Source organism: Homo sapiens, chromosome 4 (assembly GCF_000001405.40).
Source record: "Homo sapiens chromosome 4, GRCh38.p14 Primary Assembly".
NCBI lineage: Eukaryota > Metazoa > Chordata > Mammalia > Primates > Hominidae > Homo > Homo sapiens.
In genome coordinates, this window is record NC_000004.12 from 6,419,647 (window position 1) to 6,445,954 (window position 26,308).

Here is a 26,308-nt window from a genome sequence, read left to right on the forward strand (position 1 = left end):
CTGCTGTAACATATTACTACACACAGACAGCTGGAAAACAATCGAACTTTATCCTCTCCTAGTTCTGGAGGCCAGGAATGTGACATCACAGCGTGGGCAGGCCTGGCTCCCTCTGGAAGCTCTGAGGGAGGAGCCGCTCCCTGACTCCCTCCTGGCTTCTGGTGTGTAGATAAATCACCCCAATCTCTGCCTCTGTCATCACACGGCCTTCCTCTCCCTGTGTCTCTGTGTGTCCTCTCCTTAGAAGGACACCAGCCATTGGACTTGAGGCCCACTCGAATCCAATATGACCTCATCTTAACTAGTGACATACACAAGAACCCTATTTCCAAATAAGGTCACATTCTGAGGTTCCAAGTGGACATTATTCTTGAGAGAAGGACACATTTAAACGCACGACAGTCTGCAATCCCCAATTTTTCTGCATCCTCTGGAGAACTATATTCTCAGAGGTACAGACACTTCTGCGTGTGTGTGCATATGTGTATGTCTCTCTCAGTCACACACACACTCACACACATACAACTACTCCACATGACAGGTGAGCAAGACTTCCCAAGGACAGGCTGTGCAACGACAGGAGGCTGGCACACAGCCATGACAAATGACCTGTTTCTTGCCCAGTCCCACTGCCAATGTCTCCTTCCATCAGAATGTGCCACCAGTGATAAAGGTGAGAATAAGATCATTCACCGTACATGAATCAAAAGCATCCCCCCACCTGTCCCGTTCTATCAACAGCAGGCAGCCAGGATCTCACAGGTCCAGGGACTTGGGGCTGCATGTGCGGCCTCTCGCCCCAAGGACAGATGTACTTTTTCTGCAAAGTGTCTGCCACACCCCCGCCTTGCGAGTCCGGAGGCAGCTCCCCCAGCTATGTCCCTGCCTTGGGAATCCAGAGGCACCCCTTCACCCTTTCTCTATGCTCATCTCTGACTCCCACCTGCTTAGGTCTGGAAAGGGAACCACTGTTGGTTAAGCTCTATCTGCGGGACACGAACTGTCATCCAGGAAATTATGGGCTTGGTCCTCCAACTAACTCAACAACCTCTCACAGAGCAAAAATGGAAAAGCTGATGCCCAGTAAGAGGACTGGTTAAACATGAGACAATGGAGCCATAGAGTTGGAAACCAGACCTCGACGATGACGGCACAGATAAGTATTTGACATGGAATGACGGCTGGGACATGCCAGTGCCCAGGTCTGTGCTGGCACACACACTTGTTGGATGTTACTGATGGGATGTGGTAGATGATGTCCCATCATCTGCTTACCAAGCCTCCTCCTACGCCACCTACCAGGCAGGCCTCAGAAGGGCAGCAGCCAAGAGCTTGGGCAGCTGGTTCTCCTCGATGTGCCTGAGGAGGGCTTCGTGGAGGAAGCGGTGCTTTGTGTGCACCCTTCTTCCTATTTGGGGTGTCCACAGAAGTGGAGAGGCCACACCTTTCTCTCTGTTTCCCCCAAAACACATGCAGGTATGAGCCCTAGGCTCAGCCCATCACACACCACTTCCTGGTTAGCACATGACCAGTGGGGGCCAATCAGATGCTCCCACCTGGACCCAGGAGCCAATGCCACAAAGGAGTCAGGGCTGTGCATTCAATCATGGTCGCACTGGCTGGCCCCTGAAGGCCGTGCGGGTCAGCAGCTGGCCTGGCCTGCCAAAGACAAGCTTGTGCTTCCTACTTCTGGGATTCCCAGGCTGCCATTTTAAAAAGCTGGTTTTTCCACTCTTGCTGAATCTGCAGGCCCCAAATGGAGTGAGGGTTTGTCCTCATGTTTGCAATTCCGAGCACCCCAAGTGACACCTAAGTGTTTGATAAGTGTTTGTGGATTACCCGGAAGTGCCGCTCTAGATACTGAGTGTCATCCGCTTTGCACCAGGCACTCTGCGGGCAGCCAAAATGGCGGCCGTGAAAACGAAGCCCACAGACCTGGCTGGAATGCTCACGGGCAGATGGACCACAAGACGATAAACCAGCGAGGTGACTCCAGACGCGAGGGGGCTGAGAATGACGAGGAGAGGGCACGTGGCATAGGACGGCCGAGGGGGAGCCACCTGCACTGGCACTCGGAGGCCCAGCCTCCCTGGGGGACTGACATCTTCTGAGACTTGAAAAGAAGTCACAGTTCCTGCCCACCCACTTCACAGTTACCCTGTTGGTAACAGAATGAAATAAGATGTAAAAAGGGCTTTGTGAACAGGCCAGGTCTGCTTACCTTCAATAATAGGGTTGTCATCTTACTCTGCCTCCCGATAACCAAATGCTTTGCATGTGCTGAGCAGAATGTAAGTGAAGTCAACTTAGGAAAGAAATCCCATAATGTTTCAAGAAGAGCTACTCCCTGTTGCAAAAACCGAATCATGCCCCTGAGACGCTGCAGCCGGATGGCACATTGGTGCAATTTTTTTTTTTTTTAACTAGAGTCTTGAGTAGTCAAAACTTTGTTTCTCACAAATGCTCAACCAGTCTTCAGAGGCTCACACCAAAAGGGGGAATTGAGACCCAAGACTTGGGAGGTTGATGAGGCTCCATAAAATATTGACTTTCTAACCAGCCAATAGCAGGGCACTGAAATGGAGACAAGTGCCTCTGGGCTTAGCCGCCACTTGCGTGAGACCAAGGCAGACGGCGTGGCCTGCACCATCTCTGGAGGCACACTAGTGGACCAGGGTTCAACTATCAGTGCCAACGCCCGCCAGCAAGCCCTGTGGCTCCGGCAAACGAGTTCACCTCTCTGAGCCTCAGCGTCCTCATTTTTTTATATGGGGGAAATACTTTGCTGCTAGAGAGAGCTTGAAAAATTAAATTTGGTAACTGTATTCATTTCTAGTGCCACCATAACAAAGTGCCCCAGACTGTGCCACTTAAACAAAAGAAATCTATTTCCTCACAGTTCTGGAGCTGGAAGTCCAAGATCAAGGTGTCAGCAGGATGGTTTCTTCTGAAGCCTCTCTCCTGGCTTGCAGATGGCTGTCTTCTCCCTGTGTCTTCACACAGTTGTCCTTCTGTGTGTGTCTCTGTCCTAATCTCCTCTTCTTATAAGGACACAGTCATATTGGATCAGGGCCCACCTTAATGATCCAGTTTAACCTTAGGTACCTCTGTGAAAACCCTGTCTCAAAACACAGTCACATTCTGAGGTGCTGGGGGTTAGGACTTCAACATGTGAGTTTTGGAGCAGACACAATTCAGCCCATAACAGTAACACAGTAGGACCTCAGTATATGTCATGCTTACTTGATTAGAGTTTTTAAGTAACAACAACTAACCTTGACAGAGCACCTGCCAAGTGCCAGCAGCATGCCATATATTCTACATGCACCAACCCAATCCAGGGTACACCCCAGTGAGAAGGGGTTGTCATCGCATCCCAGGGCCACAGCACTCACATCTGTCACGCTGGCTCCCCGATGGCTGTGCCCTACCTGGAAGGGGCTGCAATACACTCATCCAGGCACTGTTTCATTCCTTCAACAAATATTCATGCAGACCTACTGTGTGTCAGGCTCTGTGCTACCCACTGGAGATATTTTGGGGGTTTTCTTGTTTTAGTTTTTTGTTTGTTTGTTTCAAGACAGTCTCACTCTGTCACCCAGGCTGGAGTGCAGTGGTGCAATCTCGGCTCACTGCAACCTCTGCCTCCCGGATTCAAGCAATTCTCCTGCCTCAGCCTCCCAAGTAGCTGGGACTACAGGTGCACACCACCACGCCCAGCTAATTTTTGTGTTTTTAGTAGAGACGAGGTTTCACCACATTGGCCAGGCTGGTCTCGAACCCCTGACCTCAAGTGATCCACCCACCTCAGCCTCCCAAAGTGCTGGGATTATAGGCATTAGCCACCACACCCGGCCCCCACTAGGGATATTTTGGAAACCAAGAAACACACATGCACCCTGCCCTTAAAGATCTTACATACCACTGGGGAGGCGAAGCCCAAACAGGTAAACAGACCCAAAAAATAATCATTAACTGTAATACAGTACTTTGGAGGAAATGAACAAAGGGTTGAAGTGAGAAAATGGGGGAATCTTTTTTTGATAAGCTGAGGAGGATCTCAGGGTGAGGAGGAGTCAGTGGGAGGGAGCTAGAGGGTAGGAACCAGCTTGGTGTGTTTGAGGAACTGAAAGATCAGGGAGGTAGTGGTATGAGCAGAGGCCAGAAAGGCAGGTCAGGCCAGATCATGTAGTAGGGCCATGGAAAGGAGTGCCCTTGTGTGTTTTAAGTTAGAATCAAATGTTTTGAGAGTGTGTTAGGGTTAGGGTTAGGGTTAGGGTTAGTGTTAGTGTTTCCCTCCTGCACAGACTGATTTCGTCCATTCACTGCCCACCTGGCTGTCCTGGGGCCAAGGCACCTCCTCCTGCCCATGCATTCTGCCAGGGTCCCCGGCTGGAGGAAGGGCCACGGCAGAAGCTGCTAAGGATGTGGCTTAAGGCCAGGAGGCTCTTCCTCACAGGGAAAGCCGGATTAGGAGGAAGGGGCTGCCCAGGGAAGGGGAACCTCAGCCCCTGGAGCTCCAGCTCTGGAGAGGAAGTCACAGCAGCAGGTCACCAGGCTCCTAAGCACTCTAGAGCCATGTGCTTTCAGGGCCACTGTCCCATCATCACCCTCATCAAAAGATGAACTGGAGACCTCACTGTGGAGCCCTGGAAAACCACCTGCCATCCTGCGTGAGCTGACGGTTCCTCCAGGTGAAAACAGAATGGTCTTTAAATCTTATAGGCGGTGCTAAGTCAGCAGATATGACCTGGGGCCCCTCTGCAGAGAGAGGACACTTTGTGGTCCTCCATTCAAGCCACCGGACACTGCTGAGCCATGTCGGGGCACTGAGGGGTGACCATAGCATGACTGACCTGAGCCTGCCCTAAAGGGATTGCAGAGCTGGGGAGACCTGTGGATACACAGGGAGGCCGGAGAGCCAGACCTCGCCAGGCAGTGTCGATACATTGACACAGGAGACCAGCCAATGCCTCCTCCAGAGGCGGCTGTGGTGTGCCTGCTGAACAGCTGCTGGGGTTTGACAAAGTGAGGGGAAGGGCATGGAGGCAGAGGGGCCGTGTGTGCAAGGGTTCAGGGATGGGACCGTGTGGGAGATGCAGGGGTGGGGGCAAATCACCCTTCCCAGATCCCTCAGCCCCCATGAGACCTGGGACACGTCACCTCACTGCTCAGAGTCTATTTCTTGGAGGTGAGAGTGAGCCAAGGCTAAGACCGTACAGCCAGAGTTTCTGGGTTCAAATCCCAATGCCGCCACTGCCCAGCTGTGTGGCCACAGAACAGCAGGCAGCCTCTTTAGGGTTCACTTTCCTACTCTGTAAAATGGGGACACAAGAGTCTCTACTTTTAGGGCCATCATGAAGAATGCCTGAGTGGTGTGGGCAAAGAGCTTAGCACGTGCCTGGCAGCCAGAGGAGTCTTTACAGAGCACTTACTCCTATTCCCATTCATATAGGGTTGCCGAGAGGATGACAGGAAGTGGCAATGCTGGAACATGAGAGTCAGGGGGCCTTCCCTGTGGTGTCCCCACAACAGCCAGCACAGCTCCCTGTCCCCCCACCCTATAATTCCCTATCCACCTGTCGGCCCCTCCCACAAGGCTGTGCACGCCCAGGAGCAGGCACTCTGACACGTCCAGTGTGAGCATCATTAAGAGCCCAATTGCTAGCCAAGCCTGGCTGTGCACCTCACCTGCTGTGTGTCCTGGGCACCTGCACAGTCTCTCTGATCCAAATCGCCTCACTGCAGAGTCAACACCTGAAGTTCAGGAACATGCCAGCCCCTCCTCATGAGTCATGTGAGGATCCAGGGACATCCAGTGCTGCTGGAAGTCTGGGGGTGTCCCCACCAGCACGAGCTCAGAATCAGCCCGAGAGCACAGCTCAGAGGCTGTGTGTTCCCCTCAGCCTCCCCCATGACGTGTGAACCTGAGGCTTTTGGTTTATGACCACACTTGAAACCCACTGCCTTTTTGCACAGGCTGCCTGGGCAGTTGCAATTTCCCCTTCATCACGTGCAGGAACTCACAAAAATGCAGGTCCCTGCCATCCCCATCACCACAGGGCAGCCAGGACACTTCTGAATCCTCCCGGGTGCTAGAAGACAAGGAGAGTCTGTTCAGGAAAATTGGTGTGCATACAGAACAGGGCCCAGAATCGATGCTTGGCTGTGTGTGTGTGTGTGTGTGTGTGGTGTGTGTGTTATGTGTGTATGTGTGGGGTGTGTGTGTGTGGTGTGTATGTGGTGTATGTGTGTGCATGCACACGTGCATGCATGTGCATGTGTGTTGCGGGGAGAGGCACTCTATGGCTCCAGGTCCATCAGTACCGGGCCAGGGCAGGGGCGGGATGAGCCTGTTCCTGGGTACAGGCCTGCTTCCCTCATGGCTCTGATCCCCCATCTAATCCAAGGAGCAGGTGGGCTGCCTGGCATTGCTATGGCACCTGCAAGGCAGCGGCTAACAGCCTTCCTTCCCAGCAGGCTCCGCCCTGGGACCAACTCAGTCCCTCTGCCCAGCCTTGGGGTGTCAGGAAAAGGCTACTTGGATGAGACAGCAGCCACAGCCTGCCTCCATCCTCGTCCATACTCATCACCCTAGCCAGCTGGGCAGTGAGAGGGAGGCGGTCGGAGACGGCCTTGCAGTCCAGCTCCCTTCTACGATCAGCTGCTGAAAATCCCAGTGGTGGGGATTCTTCCATTGCTGCCTGTGTTTGTTCCACGAGCACTTCCTGCAGCCTACTGTGTGCTGGCTCCAGGGTGGGACTAGGGATGGAGAGAAACTTGCCCTCCTGTGTTCCTGGCTTCAGGAAGAACAGACTGACCAGGAGAGACAGAGCCCCAGACTGGGTGCAGCCACTCGGTCGGTGCAGGGAAATGTGTAATCACTGGAGATATTTACACCTGCATGGCAATTGTGGTCCTTGTATTTCAGACACAAGCATCACCTCCTGAAGCTACAATATGCCCACCTTATTCCTCACCCCCTGCAGTGTTCAGAAACACACTCAGTGTCAGTATCAGGGGACGGCAGAGTAGACTTGGGTGGAGCAGAGCTGGGACAGCAGCCTGGGAAACGCAGGCTGGATGGGGCCCTGGAGAAACCAGTTCAGCTGCCTCCATCCACTTCAGACACCAAGCCCTGAGCCACAGGGGCAGGTGAGGCTCTGCAGGCCCAACAGCTTGGGCCAGGCCAAACACTGGCTCAAGCAAGTCTTGCTCCCCAAGTTTTGCACACAGAGCTCAAGGAGGCAGCTGTCTCACTGGGGAGTCTTTGAGCACCAACATGGGGAGGAACCAATTCCAAAAGCTAAGTTAATTTTGAAAATATCTTCCATCGGCCTGAGACTGAGATGGAAGCGGCCACATACCACGGAGGGCACATCCAAGGGGGATGCTGGTGAACCCCAAGAAGAGAATATCTGACCTGGCAACGCCATGTGCCAATGTGTACCAAGGGGAGCAAGTGTGACACTCGAGGTCCTCCTGCTCACTGCTCCACACCCACTGGGCTGGGAGGCCAGGACGAGCTGGGGGCCCCACTGTATGCCCAGTGCCTAGAATAGTATCTGGTACACAGTAGCTACTCTGTGTTTGTTGGATGAATAAAAGAACTGAGCTGGAGAATGAAGGACAGTTTAACGTTCAGCATCTCAATGCTCAAACGAGGACGTGGGAAATCCTGGCAGGACAGTGCCTTCCAACTAACTCAACAACGACCTCCTTGGTCCTGCCATTTGCAACCAGGCCAGAGGCTCCCACGTGGGGGCCCTTCCCAGGAAGCCACTGCTACTAACATCCTACTCTCAGCTCCCATTTCACACCCTTGGCTCCAGCAAGGCCAAAGGATGGGCAAGCCCCTCACTGGGTCTCTGGGCTTCACATAGGCTGGACCTGCCAGGAATGAGCCCTACCCCATCTTCCTGGCCAAGCCTTCTTCTTGCCCTCCTCAGTGGCTCCTTCCCCTGTGAGCCCTTTCCAGACACCTCACTTGTGGCCATGCTTGTCCCTAGGCCAGGACTCATCAGTATGCTCGGTGATGGATCTGTTTACACATCTAACAGACACGGAGCCCCTGGAGGCAAGGAGAGGCCTTGGCTTTAGGAAGCTTTTAGCAGCCAGTGACTGAACCCCCAGTCTGAGAGGCTGAAATCAGAGTGGTGTTCTCTAACACACATGAGGTGTAGAGGTAGATGGCTGCGGGTATCAGGTCTGCACAGCCACCGGGCACAGGCAGGACTCTGGGAAAGAGGCTCCCCCTCCTGGATGACTTAGCATCTCAGTTGATCCCCTAACAGCCCAAGGAGGTGGGCACTGTTATTCCTGTTTTGTCAATGAGGGAACGAGCTAGACAGCAGAACAGCTGGGGTGCCAGGATTTGAAAGAACAAGCTGTGCCCACACCTGTGCCTCTGAGGAGGGTCACTCAGCACTGTAGGAGGAGCATCCCTAAGAGCCGCATGTCACAATCCATACCTTCCTCTTTATGCATGTCCTACAAGTTCATCCTATTGCTTTGCACAAAGTTTTAAGATCAAGACTGTTTGGTGGGTATCCAATAAGAAGGCCAGAAAGGTTTCAGGAGAGGAGGGTCTCATGCCCTCTATTTGCCTCCAGGTTCCCGTCAACATGGCTGTGTTTGGATCCTCTAACCCCGGCCTGGATGGACAGTGGTTAGAGCAACTCCATAAGACCTGCTCACCGCAAGAAGCCAGGGCAGGGCAAGCCTTAAGTTTCCAAGGTCCAGCCAAGTCGATGAAAGCTGATTGCTGGTGACTGTGTCCTGGTCCACCAGCCTTTAGGCCTGGATATAGCACAGTCCGGGAGCTCAGGTGGTTCTTTTTAGAGGGACAGGAGACAGGGAAGAAACCAATTGCACAGAGTCACCCGTGACTTAAGCATTAGGGGCCAGGGCCTCCTCCATTTTTCTGGTTCGGAAATCACATCGTATCAAGGCAGCAGAAGTTTCACAGCCCTGGAGGGTTGACTCGTTTGGGGCAAACTCAAGAGGGCCTGATGAATAAGCCAGACATCACTGACACTGCAAATGCCAACAGTGACATTGGGATACCACCCACCAGGGGCTGGACCCCTTGCTGAGTGTCTCTGTCTCCAAAAACAGCTGTGCAAACTGGGCAGTATTTGGCTGCATTTGACAGAGACAGAAACAGAACCCTGAGAGGAAAAGGCAAGCAGCTTGAAGTCACAACCAGGAAGTGGCAGAGCGGGTTTCGAACCCAGGTCTGCCTGACTCCTGGTCCTGCAAGGTCTTTCACTATAGGCGATCTAAACTTGTGCCACTAACTTTCCTCTATACCAAGGGTCAGCAAATTCTTTCTGCAAAGGGCCAGATAGCCAATATTTTAGGCTTCGTGGGACATATGTCCTCTTTGGCAACTCTGCACCTCTGCCATTATAGCAGAAAGGCATCCACAGACAATGTGTAGATACATGCCATGTGTAGATACATGGGCATGACTCTGTTCCAATCAAACTTTATTTACAAAGACAGGCACTGGGCCAAGTTTTGCCCATGGGCTGTAGCTACCACCCCCTGTGGTATACCATGTGACAGAGAAGCAGCAGCTTTAATTCCTGACCGTGACGCTGCCATTTCTAACTTCAACACCGCACTTTTGATTTCATTTCTAGGCTTATTTTTCACATTTCCTTAAAAAGTAAATGTACGGTTCTAATCAGATAATCAATAATCAATTAACAGTGACTTTCAGGCCCTCGTACCTGGTAGGAAGACAGTAACAAAGACCAAAACTTTCACTGACTTGTGTTTTTTAAGACTTTGAAAAATAAAAACTATTAAACAAATGAAAAAATTGTAAGGAAACCCAAAACAGGTAGCCAGGTATCCCAGTGAATGTCAACAGTATGGGTTGGGGATGATCTCAGAGAGGCGGTGGTGACAAACAGCACGAGACCCCCTCAGTCTCGCCTGCTGCTGGGTTAAGCAGCATCTACCGTGCTGCTCCCTGACACTGCTTGTTGTCTGTAATAAGAAAGCTCCGACAGGGATGAAAAGCCAATTTTATGACCGTCTCAGAGTGTTTCACCAGCTCCTTGAAGCTTTATTGTATGCTAACACCATGGCATCAATTCTTGGTCCAAAGGAGTTTGCTGGCAGGGGAGAAACAAATGCCCATCGTTGCCAGAAAGAACGGGTGTGAGAATGCAGGCCAGTCCCCGAGAAGCCAGGTGTGGCATGGGGGCCAGCTGGATGCCCACAGCATCCGAGAGGGTCTGGGAAGGAGGTCTATTGAAAGATGACCTGCTTCTACTGAACACAAGGCCCAGAGAAGTCACACACCTTGCCCAACGTCACACAGCACATCAGCAGAGGTCTGACTCCCAACTGAATGCTCCAGTTTTCTAATCTTAGGACACCACCTGAAGCCTCACTAGTCCCCACCTCATAAGTGGGCCACGATCAAGGCCTTGAATTTCCATTTAAGAAGTGGGCACATGAATCCATTTCCTCTTCCATGAGAATCAGCCCCATTTTCCCCAGCACCAAGATCACTGAAAGCAGCCAGGACTATGTCCTTGATGGGATGGTGCTCATACCTGCACCTGCACTGTCCTGCCTGACCCCCATGAAACCCTAGGTATGAGCATCATGATTTTCCAGGAGGAAGCTGAGGCCCAGAGAGGCAAAGCAAGTTGCCTGAAGCCACACTGCCTGCACCAGACATCCAGCTCCAGAGTCCATGTCTTCTCTGATCCACCTGACTGCCTGGTATCAGCGAGAAGCCAAAGGGGACTGAGAGGTCCAAGAGGAGAGAAATGACTTCCCTACGTGACTCCCCCACTCCAGAGTGCTGGGGAGAAGTGGTTTACAAAGTCTCCGTGAAGAAAGCCTCAGACCCTCAGAGGAGAGTGCACGCCTCCTCGGTGCACGAGGGGAAACATGTTGAAATGTTCATTTAGCAGAATCAGGCCAACTTTGTAATCCTATCCACTCCTCCTTTCAACAGCTTTGCAGATCCAGCCGGGCACGGTGGCTCACACCTGTAATCCTAGCACTTTGGGGGGCCAAGGCGGGTGGATCACATGAGGTCAGGAGTTCCAGACCAGCCTGGCCAACATGGTGAAACACCGCCTCCACTAAAAACACAAAAATTAGCCAGTTGTGGTGGTAGGCACCTGTAATCCCAGCTACTTGTGAGGCTGAGGCAGGAGAATCACTTGAACCCAGGAGGCGGAGGTTGCAGTGAGCCAAGATCGCACCACTGCACTCCAGCCTGGGCGACAGAGCAAGACTCTGTCTCAAAAAAACAACAACAACAACAAAAAAAAAACTTTGCAGATCCCTGATCCTGTTTGTTGGAAGATGTTTATCAGTGGCTTCCATAGCCCTGGGACACTGCCATCTGCCTCTTCCGGCAGCCCACTTTTGGGGTTGGGGTTACTAGGGAGATTCTGGATGACAGAGATGGTTCTGCCTGCAAGCCCAAGGATCAGTATAACTGAGCAAGGGGACGAGCCGCCTGAGGAGGGGAAGGTGTGAAAGCCACCAGGGTGTGCAGGTCCGTGTTTCCCTGCACCTGGAGGGAGAGAGGTTCTGGAAGGCAGCCCCTGCCAGCTTCCATGGTATAAATACCCCTGCCCTGGCCAATTTCAAACTACCAACAAGATGTCTGCTGGCTCTCCAAACTGAAAATTAAGCAATCAACCTCAAAAGCTAATATGAGGGGCTCCAGAACACCATGGAGGGGCCCTGCTCCCAGGACAAAATCAGGGGCAGGCCCCAGGTTTCCAGGACCCTCCTTGGAGAAAGCTGCTCAGGCTGAGACTACGGTCCCCAGAAGTCTGGAGAGCCCAGAGTTCAGGCTGGCAGTCACCCTGGTTACTTTGTGACCCATCCCCAGCCACGTCTGTGTCCCCAAGGGGCTAAGTCCAAAGCTGTGGAGGGGACATGGTTTCGGTCCAGAGCCCCCCCTTCCCTGGCTCCTCTGTGCTTGAGCCCCTCCTACTTGTATCTGGACCTCCCCTGGGTACACTTCCTTGATAAACCACTTATACTCTAGTCCACACCTCGGGGCCTGCCTCTGGGGAGCCTGGACAAGAGACCCTGGACCTCTAAGACCCCAACCCTGCCTCTGATACCCTTCCCAGTGGTATGGCCTCAGTGGGTGGAGGATGGGCCGTGGACTTAGTCATTTGGGGCTGCTCCCACAGAATACTACAGACTCGGGGGGCTTATAACAACAGCCATTTACATCTCACAGTTCTAGAGGCTGGGAAGTCCAAGATCGAGGTGTAGAAGCTTCAGTGTCTGGGGAGGGCCTCTTCATAGTTCATAGATGGCCATCTTCTCACTGTGGGGTCCCTTTATAAAGCCACTGATCCCATAAATGAGGGCTCCATCTTCATGACCTGACCACCTCCCAAAGGCCCCACCTCTTAACGCATCACCTTAAGGCTTAATTTCAATATACGAATTTGGGAGAAACCAGACCTTCAGATGACAGCAGTAGGCTTTGATGAGCGCCTCTCTGGCTACTCAGTCCCTCCCCATCCTCATGGCTATGGTCTTTGCCCAGTAAGTGGCTTCTGCTTCCTACCTGTCCCCACCCTCCCTTGCCTCTCCTGAGCCATGTTCACCTGCTGCCCAAGTGACCTTTCTGAGAAACAAGTCGGAGGAGGCCACAGCTCTGCCTTCTGGGGCTCACAGTGGACTGAAGGCCCCTCGACTGATTCAGCAGACATCTCTGAGCCCCAGGGATGAAACAAGTGTTGTACCCACATCCTCAGTAGGTGTCCAAGGACCGTCGGGACCCAGCGCCTGCTGCCTCGTTTCCCCCTCTCCCCTCTACTCCAGCACCTTCAACAACCTGGAATTCCCTGAACACACACCAGCTTCACTGTCATCTCCCAAATCCCAAAGGGTGGGCCCAGTATTTCAGGATAGAGGATTTGGACTGTACAGTAATATGGTGCACAGGTCACCTAGGACATCTGTCACCCCCAAGGGCTTCTGGGACAACACGCATACGCATTTCTATTTCTGTACATAACATATGAAACTTCACACTACAGGGATAGAGAAGGGCTATAAATGGTTTCACATCAATTTAGGTTGGGTTTCACTGCCAAATAAGTTAGGAAAAAATCTTTAGGCTTTCAGAGCCTCTTGGATTTTAGAATACAGTTGACCCTCAAACATGAGCTGAGCTGTGAGGGTCACTTATACATGATTTTCTTTCGCCTCTGCTACCCCTGAGACTGCAAGACCAACCCGTCCTCTTCCTTCTCCTCAGCCTACTCAACATGAAGACAACGAGGATAAAGATTATAGTGATCCCCTTCCACTTAATGAACAGAAAATATATTTCCTCTTCCTTATGATTTTCTTAATGATGTTTTCTTTCCTCTAGCTTACTTTATTAGAATACAGTATATAATACATATAACATACAAAATGTATGTTTATCAACTGTTCATGTTTTTGGAAGTCCAATCAAGAGGAGGCTATTAGTTAAGTTTTTGGGGAGTCAAAAGTTGTATGTGGGTTTTTGACTGTGCAGGGGGTTGGCTCCCCCAACCCCGTGTTGTTCGAGGGTCTGCTCTGTTGCTGAATGGCTCTCTGTGCACAGCTGAAGGCTTCCCTGCTATTTACCTAGAAGGGGAACAGAGGGGCTGCTTGGACATATCTGGATATTGGCAAATGACTTTGCAAATGGTTTGCTTTCATATCCATTTCCAGTGGTGGCATGAGTTTCCATTTCTCCAGCCCCGCCCTACACTTGGTATTGTAAGACATCAACAGTTTTGCAGATCTAAGTAGCGTCGCCTGAAACGGTGCCGCCAAGTTTTCCCATCATTCTGTAAGACCCAGCAGCATCACTTCCCCTGGGCAGCTTCCCTGAAGCCCCAGGCTAAGGCCCCCTCCCTGTGCCCTTTACTGCCTGGCTGTGGCTGTTCTGTGGCCAAGTCATCCCCCCCATTGGGCCAATAGGCATACGGGTTCCAAATCCAGACCCTGGGTTCAACTATACATGCAGTCACTATAATAGCTAATTTGACTGTATTTTTTTGTGCCAGGTTCTGTCCTCATTCTTTCCCTTGAATTGACTCAGTTCATCCTCAACAACTTATGAAACAGGCACCATTGTTACATCCATCTGACAACTCTGAGACCCACAGAGGTGAAGTAACTTGTCCAAGGTCACACAGCGAGTAGGCAGCCCAGTCAGGGTTCGAACTCGAACAGCTGACTCTAGAGCTTATGGTCACAACCTAAGCTGTGCAGCCTTTGGTTAAGAAATGAGTATAAAATGCAAAGGGCACAAAAAAGCTAACAGTGAAAATAAGTCTCCCTTAGGCCCTTCTCCCACTCACTCAGCTCTCCTGTCTAGTGGCAACCACTATGAGCACTTTCAGGTGCATCATCCTACCAGAAGGAGTCTACACACAAGCAGTCATAAGATACCATGTTTTAATCATAAAGCATGTCATGGATCATCCACTATTTTGCACCTTGCTCATTTCACCTAAAGAATCTTAAACATCATTCTACATCAGCGCACCCTGAGCTGTCACGTTCTTTTCATTGCTATCCACTATCACGCTCTGGAATAATTTATGTAAACAGTCCCCTGTGATGGCCATTACAGATATTTCCATTCTTTCCCATTACCAACAATGCTATGACAAATGTGGATAAATGTCATTTCTCACCTGCGTATTTCTTTTTTCTTTTCTTTTTTTTTTTTTTTTGGAGACAGAGTCTCACACTGTCACCCAGGCTAGAGTGCAGTGGCGTGATCTCGGCTCACTGCAACTTCCACCTCCTGGGTTCAAGCGATTCTCGTGCCTCAGCCTCCCAAGTACCTAAAATTACAGGCATGCACCACCACGCCTGGCTAATTTTTGTAGTTTTAGTAGAGATGGGGTTTCGTGATGCTGGCCAGTCTGGTGTCAAACTCCTCACCTCAAGTGATCTGCCAATCTCGGCCTCCCAAAGTGCTGGGATTACAGGCATGAGCCACCACACCTGGCCTCTTACTTGTGTACTTCCATCAGACAAGGATTAGAAGTGAAATCCATAGCCATGTTTCTGAGAGTTCTTGTTTCCCTCATACCTGCACCATCATGGTAATATCAGCTATTTTAGTCCTTGCCTATACGATAGATAAAAAAACAGTATCTTAACTTGGAGTTTTCTTATTATGAGTGAGGTTGAGTTTTTATGTGTTTAAAAGATATTTCTATTTCCTTTTATGTAAACCATCTCCTCATCACATCCTTTATCCATTCTTCTATTGAATTTTTTTGGGGGTTCTTGATTTATGAGGAAATTAGTACTTCTCTATGTCTTTCTGTTGACCTCACCATATCAATATTTTCTCAGCCACTCACTGTATTTCCTTTCAGTCCATAAATTCAAATCTTATTTTTAGAAAGTTCTGGAATTGTGCCTTAAATTTTTTTTATTTAATTATTTTCATTCTTATCTCCAGGGACACCAATTATGTGTATGTTGGATCCCCTTATCTGTCCTCTGCATCATGTTCTAATATTTCTCTCTCTCTCTTTACATTAATTTATCTTGCTTTTCCCAATCTCATCTTCCATATCTCTTACTGTGTTTTCTGTGTTCCCTGTCATAATCATTCCATTGCATACTTCACTTTTTAGATGGGTTTATTTGTTAATCTATCTACTTTGTGGAGCTCATCATATCAGGTTTCACTCTCTTCTGTCATGTTACCACCTCTCCTGAGTTCTTGTATCTCAACTTTATACTCTTGTTTAGAGGTGTGATTGCTCAATTATTTTTTTCCTTAGTCCAAGGCATTATGTACAGTTGATATTTTCATCTGATTTATGGCAAATGTTTTCTTGCGCATATTTTTCATCTGTTACTTTCTTCATTTTTGGAGGATCTTGAGATAGAGCTTGCACTGGTCCTTACTAATTATTACTCATCTCTGAATGTGATGAGTTCTTCCTGAACCATCTATTTATACAAGATTCGTGCACCAGAGTGTCCAAAAGAGTAATCTAGTTCTTAGAAAACAGGCTTGTGAGTGAGAGTCAGTTCTTTTGGCCTTTACTTCTTTCTTGTTAAGATCAGATGCCACAGGCTGGCACATAACACAGCCCCTTTTCTCCACTTTGCCTCTCTAGTAGACTGCTTTTTGAAAATATAGCTTGTCCATGTGAGACCTTGTTCACCCCAGACTTCCCTGATTTCACTTTGTGCAAAACTAGATCTGGGAAGGCTCCCACACCAGTTGTTATGGTCTGAATGTGTGTCCCCCCGAAATTCATATATAGAAATCTTAGCCCCCAATGTGATGGTCTTAGGAAGTAACGTCTTTCAGAACTGATTAGGTCTTAGAGGGTGGAGTGCTCATGAATGGGATTAGTACCCTTATAAAAGAGATCTCAGAGAGCTCCCTAGCCCCTTCTGCCACGCAAGCACACAGCAAGAAGGCACCATCTATGAACAAGAAAACAGGTCCTCAGCAGACACCAAATCTGTTACACCTGGGTATCAGACTTCCCAGCCTCCAGAACTGTGAGAGATAAAAGTATGCTGCTTACAAGCCACCCAATCTATGGTATTCTGCTATAGCAGCATGAACAGACTAAGACACCAGCCAATGCACTTGTTCTTATTGCTCCATGAGAGGAACTATAGGTCTTGCCATCTGAGCCCACCACAGAAGGTGTAGAAAATTCTGCTTTGTTTGCTCTGTCTGAGCTTTACAGCCATGGGCATTTTATTTCCCTTTGGAGACATCCTGCACCCATTTTTGACCTTTACTGCACTTCCCCACATATGAGGTTCCAGAAGCTATGGTTCCATCAAAGATGGCATTTGCATTTCCATTTGTTCCATTTGTTGCTTCAGGATCATTTCCAAAAGGAGAAAAGAGAAACACTCTCTACTCTGTTACTAGAGTTCCCTGAGCCAGGCGTCAAACCCTGGTCATTCAGCTCCAAATTCAGAATGTTTCCTGCTGCTCCATATGAGTCATTGACATGAACCAAGGGTCAGCAACCTTTTTCCATAAAGGTCCAGAGAATAAATACAGGGCCACACTGTCTCAACTACCGTCACAACTACTCAACCCTGCTGTTGTAGTGTGAAAGTAGCCACAGGCAATACCTAAACACATAGGTGTGACTGCATCTTCATTTAAACTTTATTCACAAAAACAGGAGGTGGGTCAGATTAGCATGTGGGCCATAGTTTACCAACCCTTATATAGACTATAAAGCTGAGGTCCAAATGCCCAGTTGTCTTTGACTAACTTGGTTCACAGATGGGCTTTGACCCAAATGATGTTTACACATTGCCAAGTGAACATTTCAATATTAAAAGATTCAACATGTAGACCTGAATTTCTGATTTCTCTCCAGAAATTGTAAGAGCTGTCCAATGCAGAATCCCACAAGGCTATGCTTGCCAGCACGCCACAGTCCCCACCACTCCCTGATGCATGGTTGGACTGTTACTTTGCCACTCTCAGCGTCATGGTGCACTGTGTCTTGCTTATACATTTTGTACTTTGCTCACTGATATGACCTTCCTGGTTTCTTTAGGCATCCAAGTTTTAAAAACCACCGAAGCAAAGGACAAGGATCTTGCTCCATTTCTTCAACAAAGCTTGGTAAAGGGCTAGGCTGAACACAAGAAATACAACTGTAATTGCTCAGAAGTAAACTGCATCTCTGGCCTCAGACATCCCTTCAACAACACAGGATCTGAGACAGAAGGCCTGGCAAGTCCTTTTGTAGTTGTCTGATTCAACTGTTTCATTTTAAAGATGGGGGAACTACAGCCAGAGCGGGGAGTGGCTTGTCCAGAATTAAGAGGAAGTTAGGGACAGAGCTCTTATCAAATGTCACCTAATCCAGGACTCTGTCACTTCTAAATCCTCTAGGCCCTGCTTCAAAACTGAGCTTAATCTAGGTAGAGTCATGTCCCTTACTATCTGTTTTCTACATTGACTAGAATGTACTTTTAAAGACTCACGAATATGCTCAGGGACTCAGTGCACAGGAAAGGTACAGCGGCCAACAGTATGCAGTTATTGTCTCTTAACTGCCTATAGAAATGACAAGTGTCACTCAAATTGTGAAAAGAAATCTTTGTCCCCACAATGACAACACTGTCTCCACTGTGTGTTCTTTCAGACCTAATCTCATTCAATCCTCAACACCCCTGTGTAGATGCATGGCCTCTGTTTTTACGTGCATCGGCTGCTGTCTCATCATAATGGAACCAACTACAGGCCTTAGAAGGGAGGGGATAGAAATATATTAGCTTGTTTTTATTCCTTCAGTCTTCTGGATCAATCCCAAACCCGTGGGGCTGCTGGCTTACTTTCAGTTTTACCAGGTTTTCTGGAGGGCAAAGAAGAGTGGTTTCATGGGTCTTTGCCAGAGTTCTCATAAAACCTTCTCCTTCATGTCCTTTTTCATATCAGGCAACTGGAATGATAGTCCTGAGTCACAGCCCTATTACAGCAGTATCTGGTCTGCATTTAACAACCCCACTCACCATCGTACAGTTACTATGACCATTGCCTTTGCAAAGTAGGTCGTATGCAATTTGTACATAGGGGAATGATGTCAGTATAATGTAAAAGTTAGGTTGGTTCAAACGCAGCCTTTCTCAGTGTGTTAATGTTTTGTGCCAGCCAGAGGAAGCAACTGAATGCAAAATACACTAATGGCTGAACATCAAGCCTCAAAGGAATGTGGCCCAAGAGAATAGACTCATTCCCTGCGCACCTACCTCTTAGCTCAGTTTGGAAGAGTTTGGTGGACGGGTCTCCCTCTGTACCCAGGCCATGTCCCAGCCATAATTCAGCTCCCTCCCTTTCAGCCCCTTCCATTAAATGACCTTCACTTTTTCCTTCAAGATAAGATTGTATAATGGTTGGAATGTTTCTTTAACAGGAATTAATATGTTTTTCTTTCATTGTGCCAGATTTTTCTAAAACTTAATATTTTTATGAGTGTCTGGTGACACACTGCATAGACTTCCAGTCATCTGTCCCAACCCCATTCTGTCCATCAGCTCTGATGTCATTTGTTTGGGATTTTGCAGAATGAGAAGTTTCTCAGGATGTCTCTATTTCATTAGAGCAGAAACACCTGCGCTTGTCTTTGGTTACTTCTATTTTTGGCCTGATTTGCTGGTTTTCCATTTATGGTAGAGGGCCAACATTTAAAGAAACCTATTAGGTGAATAATACATGAGTGGTATCCAGGTGTTCCCTGACACAGTGCGGGCACAGAGCAGGAGACAGAGCATGATCAGATTGACCCAAGGACCTCAACACACACACGGCAGCTTCCATTTGGACAAAGGATCCTTTCTTATTGAATCTCTGAACAGTGCCAGAGATGTGGAAGAAACCCAGTAAGTGTTACCTGATACTATTACCACACCTATTCCTAGAATAGGCAAGAATGAAATATATAGGATGTTTCCCCTCTAGAAACAGGTAGAAGAGATACACAGCAATGCTCACAAGCAATTGCAAAAGCAGTTCAAATACATTTGCTCTCCATTAACACTGCACATGCAATGGTTTGCCAGTATCAGCAGAAATGACTAATTACTCTAGTCTGAAGCCCAAAAAGATAAAGCATTAGATTTATCATAAATGCAAGGCTGCACACTCTTGTAGAAATGACTCCTTCTGCAGTTTGTGACGTGCACTGATTTATGACACTACATTCATACGGGGGTGCTTTTCCAGTTTCTAATGCTCTAAATGAGACACGGATTAAAAGGAAAACTAGAAATCTAACTTTAGCGTGATTCAAAATAGCTCATTTCCATCCCAGAAGAGGCAGAGATGAAAAGGCTCTTTCCTCTCATTTTCTTCTAAATTAGGGAGACATGATCTGGGCTGATGGATGGCTCTGGTCAGTACCACTCACAGCCAGGCCCTGGGAGCAGCCCCTCCCGCTTCGTCTCCTAGAAAGTCTGCTCTTCTCCTCTGCTCTTCTGCCTCCAGTCCACCCCCATCTCATCCACTCTCCCCACCATGAACAGAGAGGTCTTCCTAAACTAAAGATCTAACCACATCACACTCAGACATACATACTTCTCTGTTGAATGGCTGTATTTTCAGCATCAAGTCCAAGTGCCTGGACATGACACTCTCAGGAGTCCTTACCAACCAAGTCCACACTTCTGACCCAAACTCAACCAGCTGGAGCTTAGCCCACCCCATGCTATTTGCTGCCTCTTGCAACACCATTCCTTTTCAGGACCTTTAGGTGCCAACCCTCCACTCCACCTGCCCTACGTCTTCACTTCACTGCGTAGAAAACTCTTGCTAAGCTCTTAAAACCACCTCAAGGAACAGCTCCCCTGGGGAGCTTCCCTGACACCTCCACCGTTCCCCATCCCTCCATCACTACATACAGGTCTCACAGGCTGGGTGGCCCATCTTTTCCCAGAATTTGTCAAAATGACATTATGGTTGTCTTTCTGTCCACCTCTATCTCCCTTCACATGGGTATGACCATAGGGACCAAGCCATCTCTAGATCCCCAAGGCCTGGCATGGAATCAGCAATCAACTGAGATACATACATGTTGGATGCGTGCGCAGATGGACAGATGAGTACATGTTGCATGAATTCATTTTCTATTTAAGTTATCAGAAAAGAGTTCTAACCTTTAGAGTTTTGTATCTGAATGATCAGTTATCTGTCTCAGCAAGCTCAGGTCAGACTCCCAATCCCATGAGCAGGAAAACCAGAAACAGGGAAACTCAGAGTCCCCTGGGGCCAACAACTCACAGGGCAGGTGTTGGGGGCTCTTAGCAACCTCTAAGGGAGGCCCAAGCTCCCTCAGCACCATGGCACTGACCAGAGGCTTTCAGCAGTGGGGACACAGAGAGATGTAACATGCTGGCTCCGTAAACGCCAGCAGGCTGGTCTCTGGACCCAACCAATTGGGAGACCCAAGATGATGGACCCTGGCAGCCTTGGTGCTGTCTGTGGTGCTTACTTCTGGCCCCCGGTTTGCTGTGGCCTCAGCACCTCCCTCCCTGACTGGCACGTCTCAGAGCCTCCTGGCATAGCTGATGGACGCCGCCTGAGTCTGTATCTCACCATGTTTCTCCTAGTGCCTCAACACCTTTGCTGCCCTCTGCTAGGCTGGGTTCTCCAGAAGCAGACCCTGAGGCCAACATTTTTCTGGAAGTGATTAGGAAGTGTTGCTGGGAAAGCCAGGAAGGGTGTAGGGAAGTGGGGCCAGGACATGAAGGAGGCCAAGTGGGGTGTGATAACAGGAAAAATCTCAAGGAGTGCGACTTGAGCTCAGTCCCATGGGAGCTCTGGGGACAGTGTAGGTCCCATCTCAAAGTGTCCTGATCAGGAGGGAGGGAGCTGGGGTATTTATACCACTGCACCTGTCAGTGACTGGGTGAGGGCTGACTCTGGCAGAGGACATGAGTTTCCAGTAACCTCCAGCTCTGCAGGTGCACAGGAAAAGGGGGTTCCAGCAGCCTGAGGGAAGCCGCCAACAGGGAACCTCAGTGCAGGCTCTGGAAAAAAGCACCTCAGGGCCCTCATGCATGAAAACACTAAAGTGATTAGGGAATCTCAACATTGCTACAGCCCCTCCCTCCAAACTCCTCCCTTCAAGCCCCTCCACACCGACACCACAGTGACCCTTCTAAACCCAACTCTGGTCCCTCACTCCATGGCTTAAAGCCCTTCCTGGCCCCTCCAGCTGCAGGGGAGGAGCCACGCTCCTCAGCCCGCCCCATGAGCCCCATGGGGCCTCCATCACCTGCAGCCTCCCTGGTTCCCAGCCTGCAAGTCACAGTCTTGCCCTCCTGAGCTGCCACCAGTCCCCACACACGAGCACTCTCTCTCCACCTCGCCTCTGTTCAGGCTGTGACCTCTTCCTGGACAGCCCTTCCCTGGCGGATGGTTCCAGCATCACCTTCTGCTCTGTACGTGTCACCTGCAGGACACAGCCAGGGCTCTACCCTCATCCATGCCCAGATCCGAGGCCTCTGCTCCTCTCATGACTGCCCCAGTGAGGGGCAAAGGAGCCTTAAAGGTGAACTTGATAAGGAATAGAGGGGTGGTGCTGTAGAAAGGAGGGGATGGGGCCCAGCCACACACATGCAACACGATGGCCCCACTCTTCACTGTGGGTCTCTGAGCAAGCACTGACCCTTGAGTCTCAGTCCTTCATCTGTATTACTGGGTATGGCCCCCCAGCACTGCGGTCAAAATTAAATGCCTGGGGCATGGCAGCTGTTCACCACCGGCCATTCCCTTCCTTCTCCGCCCTACTCCTGCAGCATATCCCACTGCATAGTGGAAGGCTCCTGACCACCTGGGTCAAGCCTAGGACACAGCCCCATCAAAGCCAAACGGTGTCCGTGGGTGGGGGAAGGCAGCCAGCAGAGAGGACCGTCTCACCCTGGAATCCACCTGCTCTTTGATCTGGAAATGGCCAGTGCCTTGGGTGGACCCAGGATGAGGACTCTGTGGCCTGATCTATGGGAAGGCCACCAGACTGTGTCCAATGTGCTGTCTCAGCACACAGGCCAGGTTTCCAGTGGCTGGCCTGCAGCTCCCCACTATCTGCACCCCCAGCAGCAGGCCTGGCCTCCCCTCCCAGCCGTGGGCTGATTCTGCCCAGAGAGGGGCATCAGCTCTGCCCGCTCTCAGCAGGAGGTGGGTGAGTGGCCAGAGGCCTGGGCTTAGGAACAATGTACTTGGACCCAGTGGAACCCACACAGAGAAGGGAAAACTGCCCTTGGCCACGTGCTTCAGTCCGTGGGGCCACCAAGCCGTGACTGTGGTGGTCGGTGGACTGATCATTCAGTCCAGTTTAGTTTGATGGTTTCAGGCCCCATTTCCTACCACAAATAGCATGGCCCCAAGGGCTGGGAGAGGCGACAAGGTGACACCAGTGATGATTATGGGAATAATCACAGGCACCAAGAGGAACTGAGCACTTCCTGCGTACCAGGCACTCACTCCGTGTTTTATATGAATTAACTCACTTAAGTTCCAACACCCCTAGGGTGTGGGGTACAGTTTCAGTCTCCCCATTTCATAGATGAAGGAACTGAGGCATGGAGAGGTTACGCAACTCACCCCAGGCCACACAGCTAGCAAGGTGAGGAGTGGGGCTTTGAAGGCAGGAATTCTGACTCCAGAGTCCATGCTCATACCACAGCCCCAGCACCGAGCAGCTAGTGGCTGCACAGCAGTGGGACGCTCTGCGTGATGAGTTCTGGGTCCCACAAGTCGCCCAAGGGGGGCACCCATTCCCCCCATCACAGCTAAGGAGACTGAAGCTTGGAGATCTTGCGTGACTTTCCCGACCTAAATGACTACTTCACAGCCTCCCTGCTCGGTGACTACTGCCCACCTCCCATTTCCGTCTGCTGTGGGAAGCCCTGTTTTCCACCCCAGGAACCTGGGAGAACCAAGCTCTACAGTGGCCTCAGTTTTTTTAAACCTCTGGGAGAGATGAGGCCCCTTCCCTCTCTCTCCTCGGCACCACTCTTGTTAGGATCCCCTCCAGCCTTCCAGGCAGGTGCCCGGCCGCCGCCTGGCAGGACTAATTCCACACATGCTCTGGCCCCATCAACCTTAATAGGATTAGTGTCATCTCTGAAAACTGAATTTGGCTTCTCCATCTTCCACCAGTTTCATTAGAAAGGTTTTCTAGGCAAAGCGCACTTTAGGATACACACAGGGTGCGCTCCAGAGGCAGGGTGCTGCGGGATGCCATGCAGACGCTGGGTAAAGCCCCAAGGCCGCAGAGGGACCTGGGTGTCCTCAGGCACTGGGCAGAGAAGCCAGACCACCCCGGCGTGAGTCACCCCCTTCCGTGGTACTTCTCAGAAGTCACTCTGCCGCAACATTCAGCTGGAACCTCAGCAGCCTGAGGCAAAGAACACTAGCCTGGGACTCAGGAAGCCCTGGGTTCAAGCCCCACCTATGCCACTTCCTGGCTGGGTGACTGTCACCAGTGACTCAGTCACTCTGAGCCTCGTGTTCCTGGTCCGTATAAACATGATGGCAATGCCCAGCTTGTAGGGCTGTGCTGAGGCTCTGAAAGATGCTGGGTGCTCAGCAAATGTATTCCCTCCCCACCCCACCGCCCCCCCGGAGTCCTTGCAGAGCATCTGGTCCAAGGGCTGCAAACAGATGGCTCCCGGTGCATCTTTTCTGGCTGTCTCAGCCCACACAGCCTCTCAGGTGCAGCAACGAAGCAAGTGCTAGGCAGCTCCAACACAGCAGCAGCCCAGCAGCCCAGCAGCCCAACCCTGGCCCATGTGTAGCCTCTTGCAGCCCCCTGACTGCGAGAGAGCTTGGAAACCCAACCAGGTCCAAACAACCCTGGCCCGTGAGTAGCCTCCTGCAGCCCTCTGCCCGTGACAGAGTTTGGGAACCCAAACAGGTCCAAATGCCTGATTAGGAGAGAGTGGACAGGTTAGAAACGCTATGGCCCACCCAGGACCACAGAATCGACAAGGATTGATGGGACAGACACTCACCATGTGCCTAACATGGCTAGAGGCAGTGGCCCCGAAAATGGAAATCAGATGGATAAATAGAACAAGGGTCCTTTGACACCATTACAGGAGGTCTGCTCCCGCGGAGATCAGGGAGGCCTGGGCCAGACAGGTAGGCCTGGTGGAGACAGGGATGGAGGGCCAGGCACCGTGACCACTGTTTTCATACCCATTTTCTTATTCAGTCTTCCTGACAACCCCAAAGCCTAGTCGTTACTTGTCCCATTTAACAGATAAGAAGACTGAGGCCCCAGATCCCCTGGATATTAAGGGAGGAATGAGGACTACTGGAAATTCCAAATACACTCTGCCACTCTCCGGGGTCCTCGCACAGCCCAGGTGTAAATCTCCCTGAGGTTTCTCAAAATGATCAGACCCCTTATTTCCTATTTTTCCCTACCCCACCACTTCAAAGACAGTAACTCTGCACTTCAGCAGGTCCTAAGCGGGGGCCCAGTTTCTTAATTTCTTTTAAGCCAACGAAGCTGCACATGGAGAGAGAATCATGAGACAAAAAGGCAAAGTGTCTTCACGCTTCCAAGCGATGCCTGGCCAGGCAGATGGCTCTACTCTCAGCAGTTTTCACTTTGACAGTGTAACAATCTGGATAGATCAGAGACATGTCCACTGGACACACAAGCAGGTGGCAGGGATCGTTTCCATGTGTTCACCTTCACATCCATGGCCCAGTGCATCCAAAAACCTCTCCAGCCTGGGCACAGTGGCTCACGCCTATAATCCCAGCACTTTGAGAGGCCAAGGCAGGTGGATCCCTTCAGCCTAGGGGTTCCAGATCAGTCTGGGCAACATGGTGAGACCCCAACTCTACAAAAAAAAAATACAAAAATTAGCCGGGTATGTTGGTGCCTGCCTGTAGTCCCAGCTACTCGGGAGGCTGAGGCAGGAGGACCGCTTGAGCCTGGGAGGCAGAGGTTACAGTGAGCTGAGATCACATCACTGCACTCCAGCCTAGGTGACAGAGTGAGACCCTGTCTCAACAAAAGCAAAATAAAAACAAAAAAAAAAACCCTCTCCCAAACTTTTTCAAGGTCATTCCTGGCAGTCTCTGCAACAGCTGAGAATATTCTAGACGCTTATGTTCACTATCTAGCTAAGACATGACCTGCCAGAATCATTTCCACACACATGTATAAGCAACCATGCATTTAATTAATCCAACTGGAACCAATTTAAGAGAATTTAGCCAAGTTTGCAAAAGGATAAGATGTCAAATGGATTTCAGGCTGTTTACCTGTTAATCAAATATTCAAAGAGCAAGTGACAGTGACTGCTCTCATCTCACACAAAGGCACAGCCTCATAGACAGACAGATGAGATTGCAAAGTTGAAGCTGTTTCTTTTCATGAAAAGGGAGTTTCAGCCAGGTGCTGTGGCCCATGCCTGTAATGCCAGCACTCTGGGAGGCCCCGGCAGGGGGATCACTTGAGTCTAGGAGTTTGAGGCTGCAGTGAGCTATGATGGCACCACGGTACTCTAGTCTGGGTGACAAGGAGAGACCCTGTCTCTAAATAAATAAATAAATAAATGGAGTTTCAAATGTATAACTTCACTAATGCAAGTGACCCAAGAGGTGCTTTCTAAGCAGGGAGGCCTGGCTCTAAATGTCTCACACCAACATGATGTTCTAAGGGAGGGCTGGGGTCCTCAGCCCTCTGCCCACAGTGTCGCAGAACATAACACAGGAGGACTCCTATCTCACATGGCCACATGGCCTGGAGACAAGCCCAAGGTTTCCCAGCTT

At 50.2% G+C, this 26,308-nt stretch overlaps 1 protein-coding gene across 8 annotated transcripts in view, besides 2 other annotated features; it reads right to left on the minus strand.

Moving 5' to 3' along the window:
- Nucleotides 1–26,308, minus strand: part of PPP2R2C (protein phosphatase 2 regulatory subunit Bgamma) — a 243,219-nt gene that overhangs the window by 99,066 nt on the left and 117,845 nt on the right. Inside the window, exon 1 of one of the 8 annotated variants that reach the window (XM_011513496.2) lies at nucleotides 1,300–1,507. The exons of 6 other annotated variants lie outside the window; for them this stretch is intronic. The gene's annotated coding sequence lies outside the window, so the exon portion shown is untranslated. Of the gene's footprint in view, nucleotides 1–1,299; nucleotides 1,508–26,308 lie in introns of those variants that run through there. One more of the 8 variants, NM_001206996.2, reaches the window with a different exon arrangement.
- Nucleotides 5,641–5,690: an enhancer, noted in NCBI's record as "active region_21260". NCBI's record gives its function as "activates an Ori minimal core promoter by ATAC-STARR-seq in GM12878 lymphoblastoid cells {active_cell/tissue: GM12878}" and the evidence as "EXISTENCE:reporter gene assay evidence [ECO:0000049][PMID:35858748]".
- Nucleotides 23,758–24,257: an enhancer, noted in NCBI's record as "H3K4me1 hESC enhancer chr4:6445131-6445630 (GRCh37/hg19 assembly coordinates)". NCBI's record gives its function as "activates a minimal SCP1, AML or CMV promoter by ChIP-STARR-seq in naive H9 embryonic stem cells {active_cell/tissue: H9 hESC(naive)}" and the evidence as "EXISTENCE:reporter gene assay evidence [ECO:0000049][PMID:30033119]".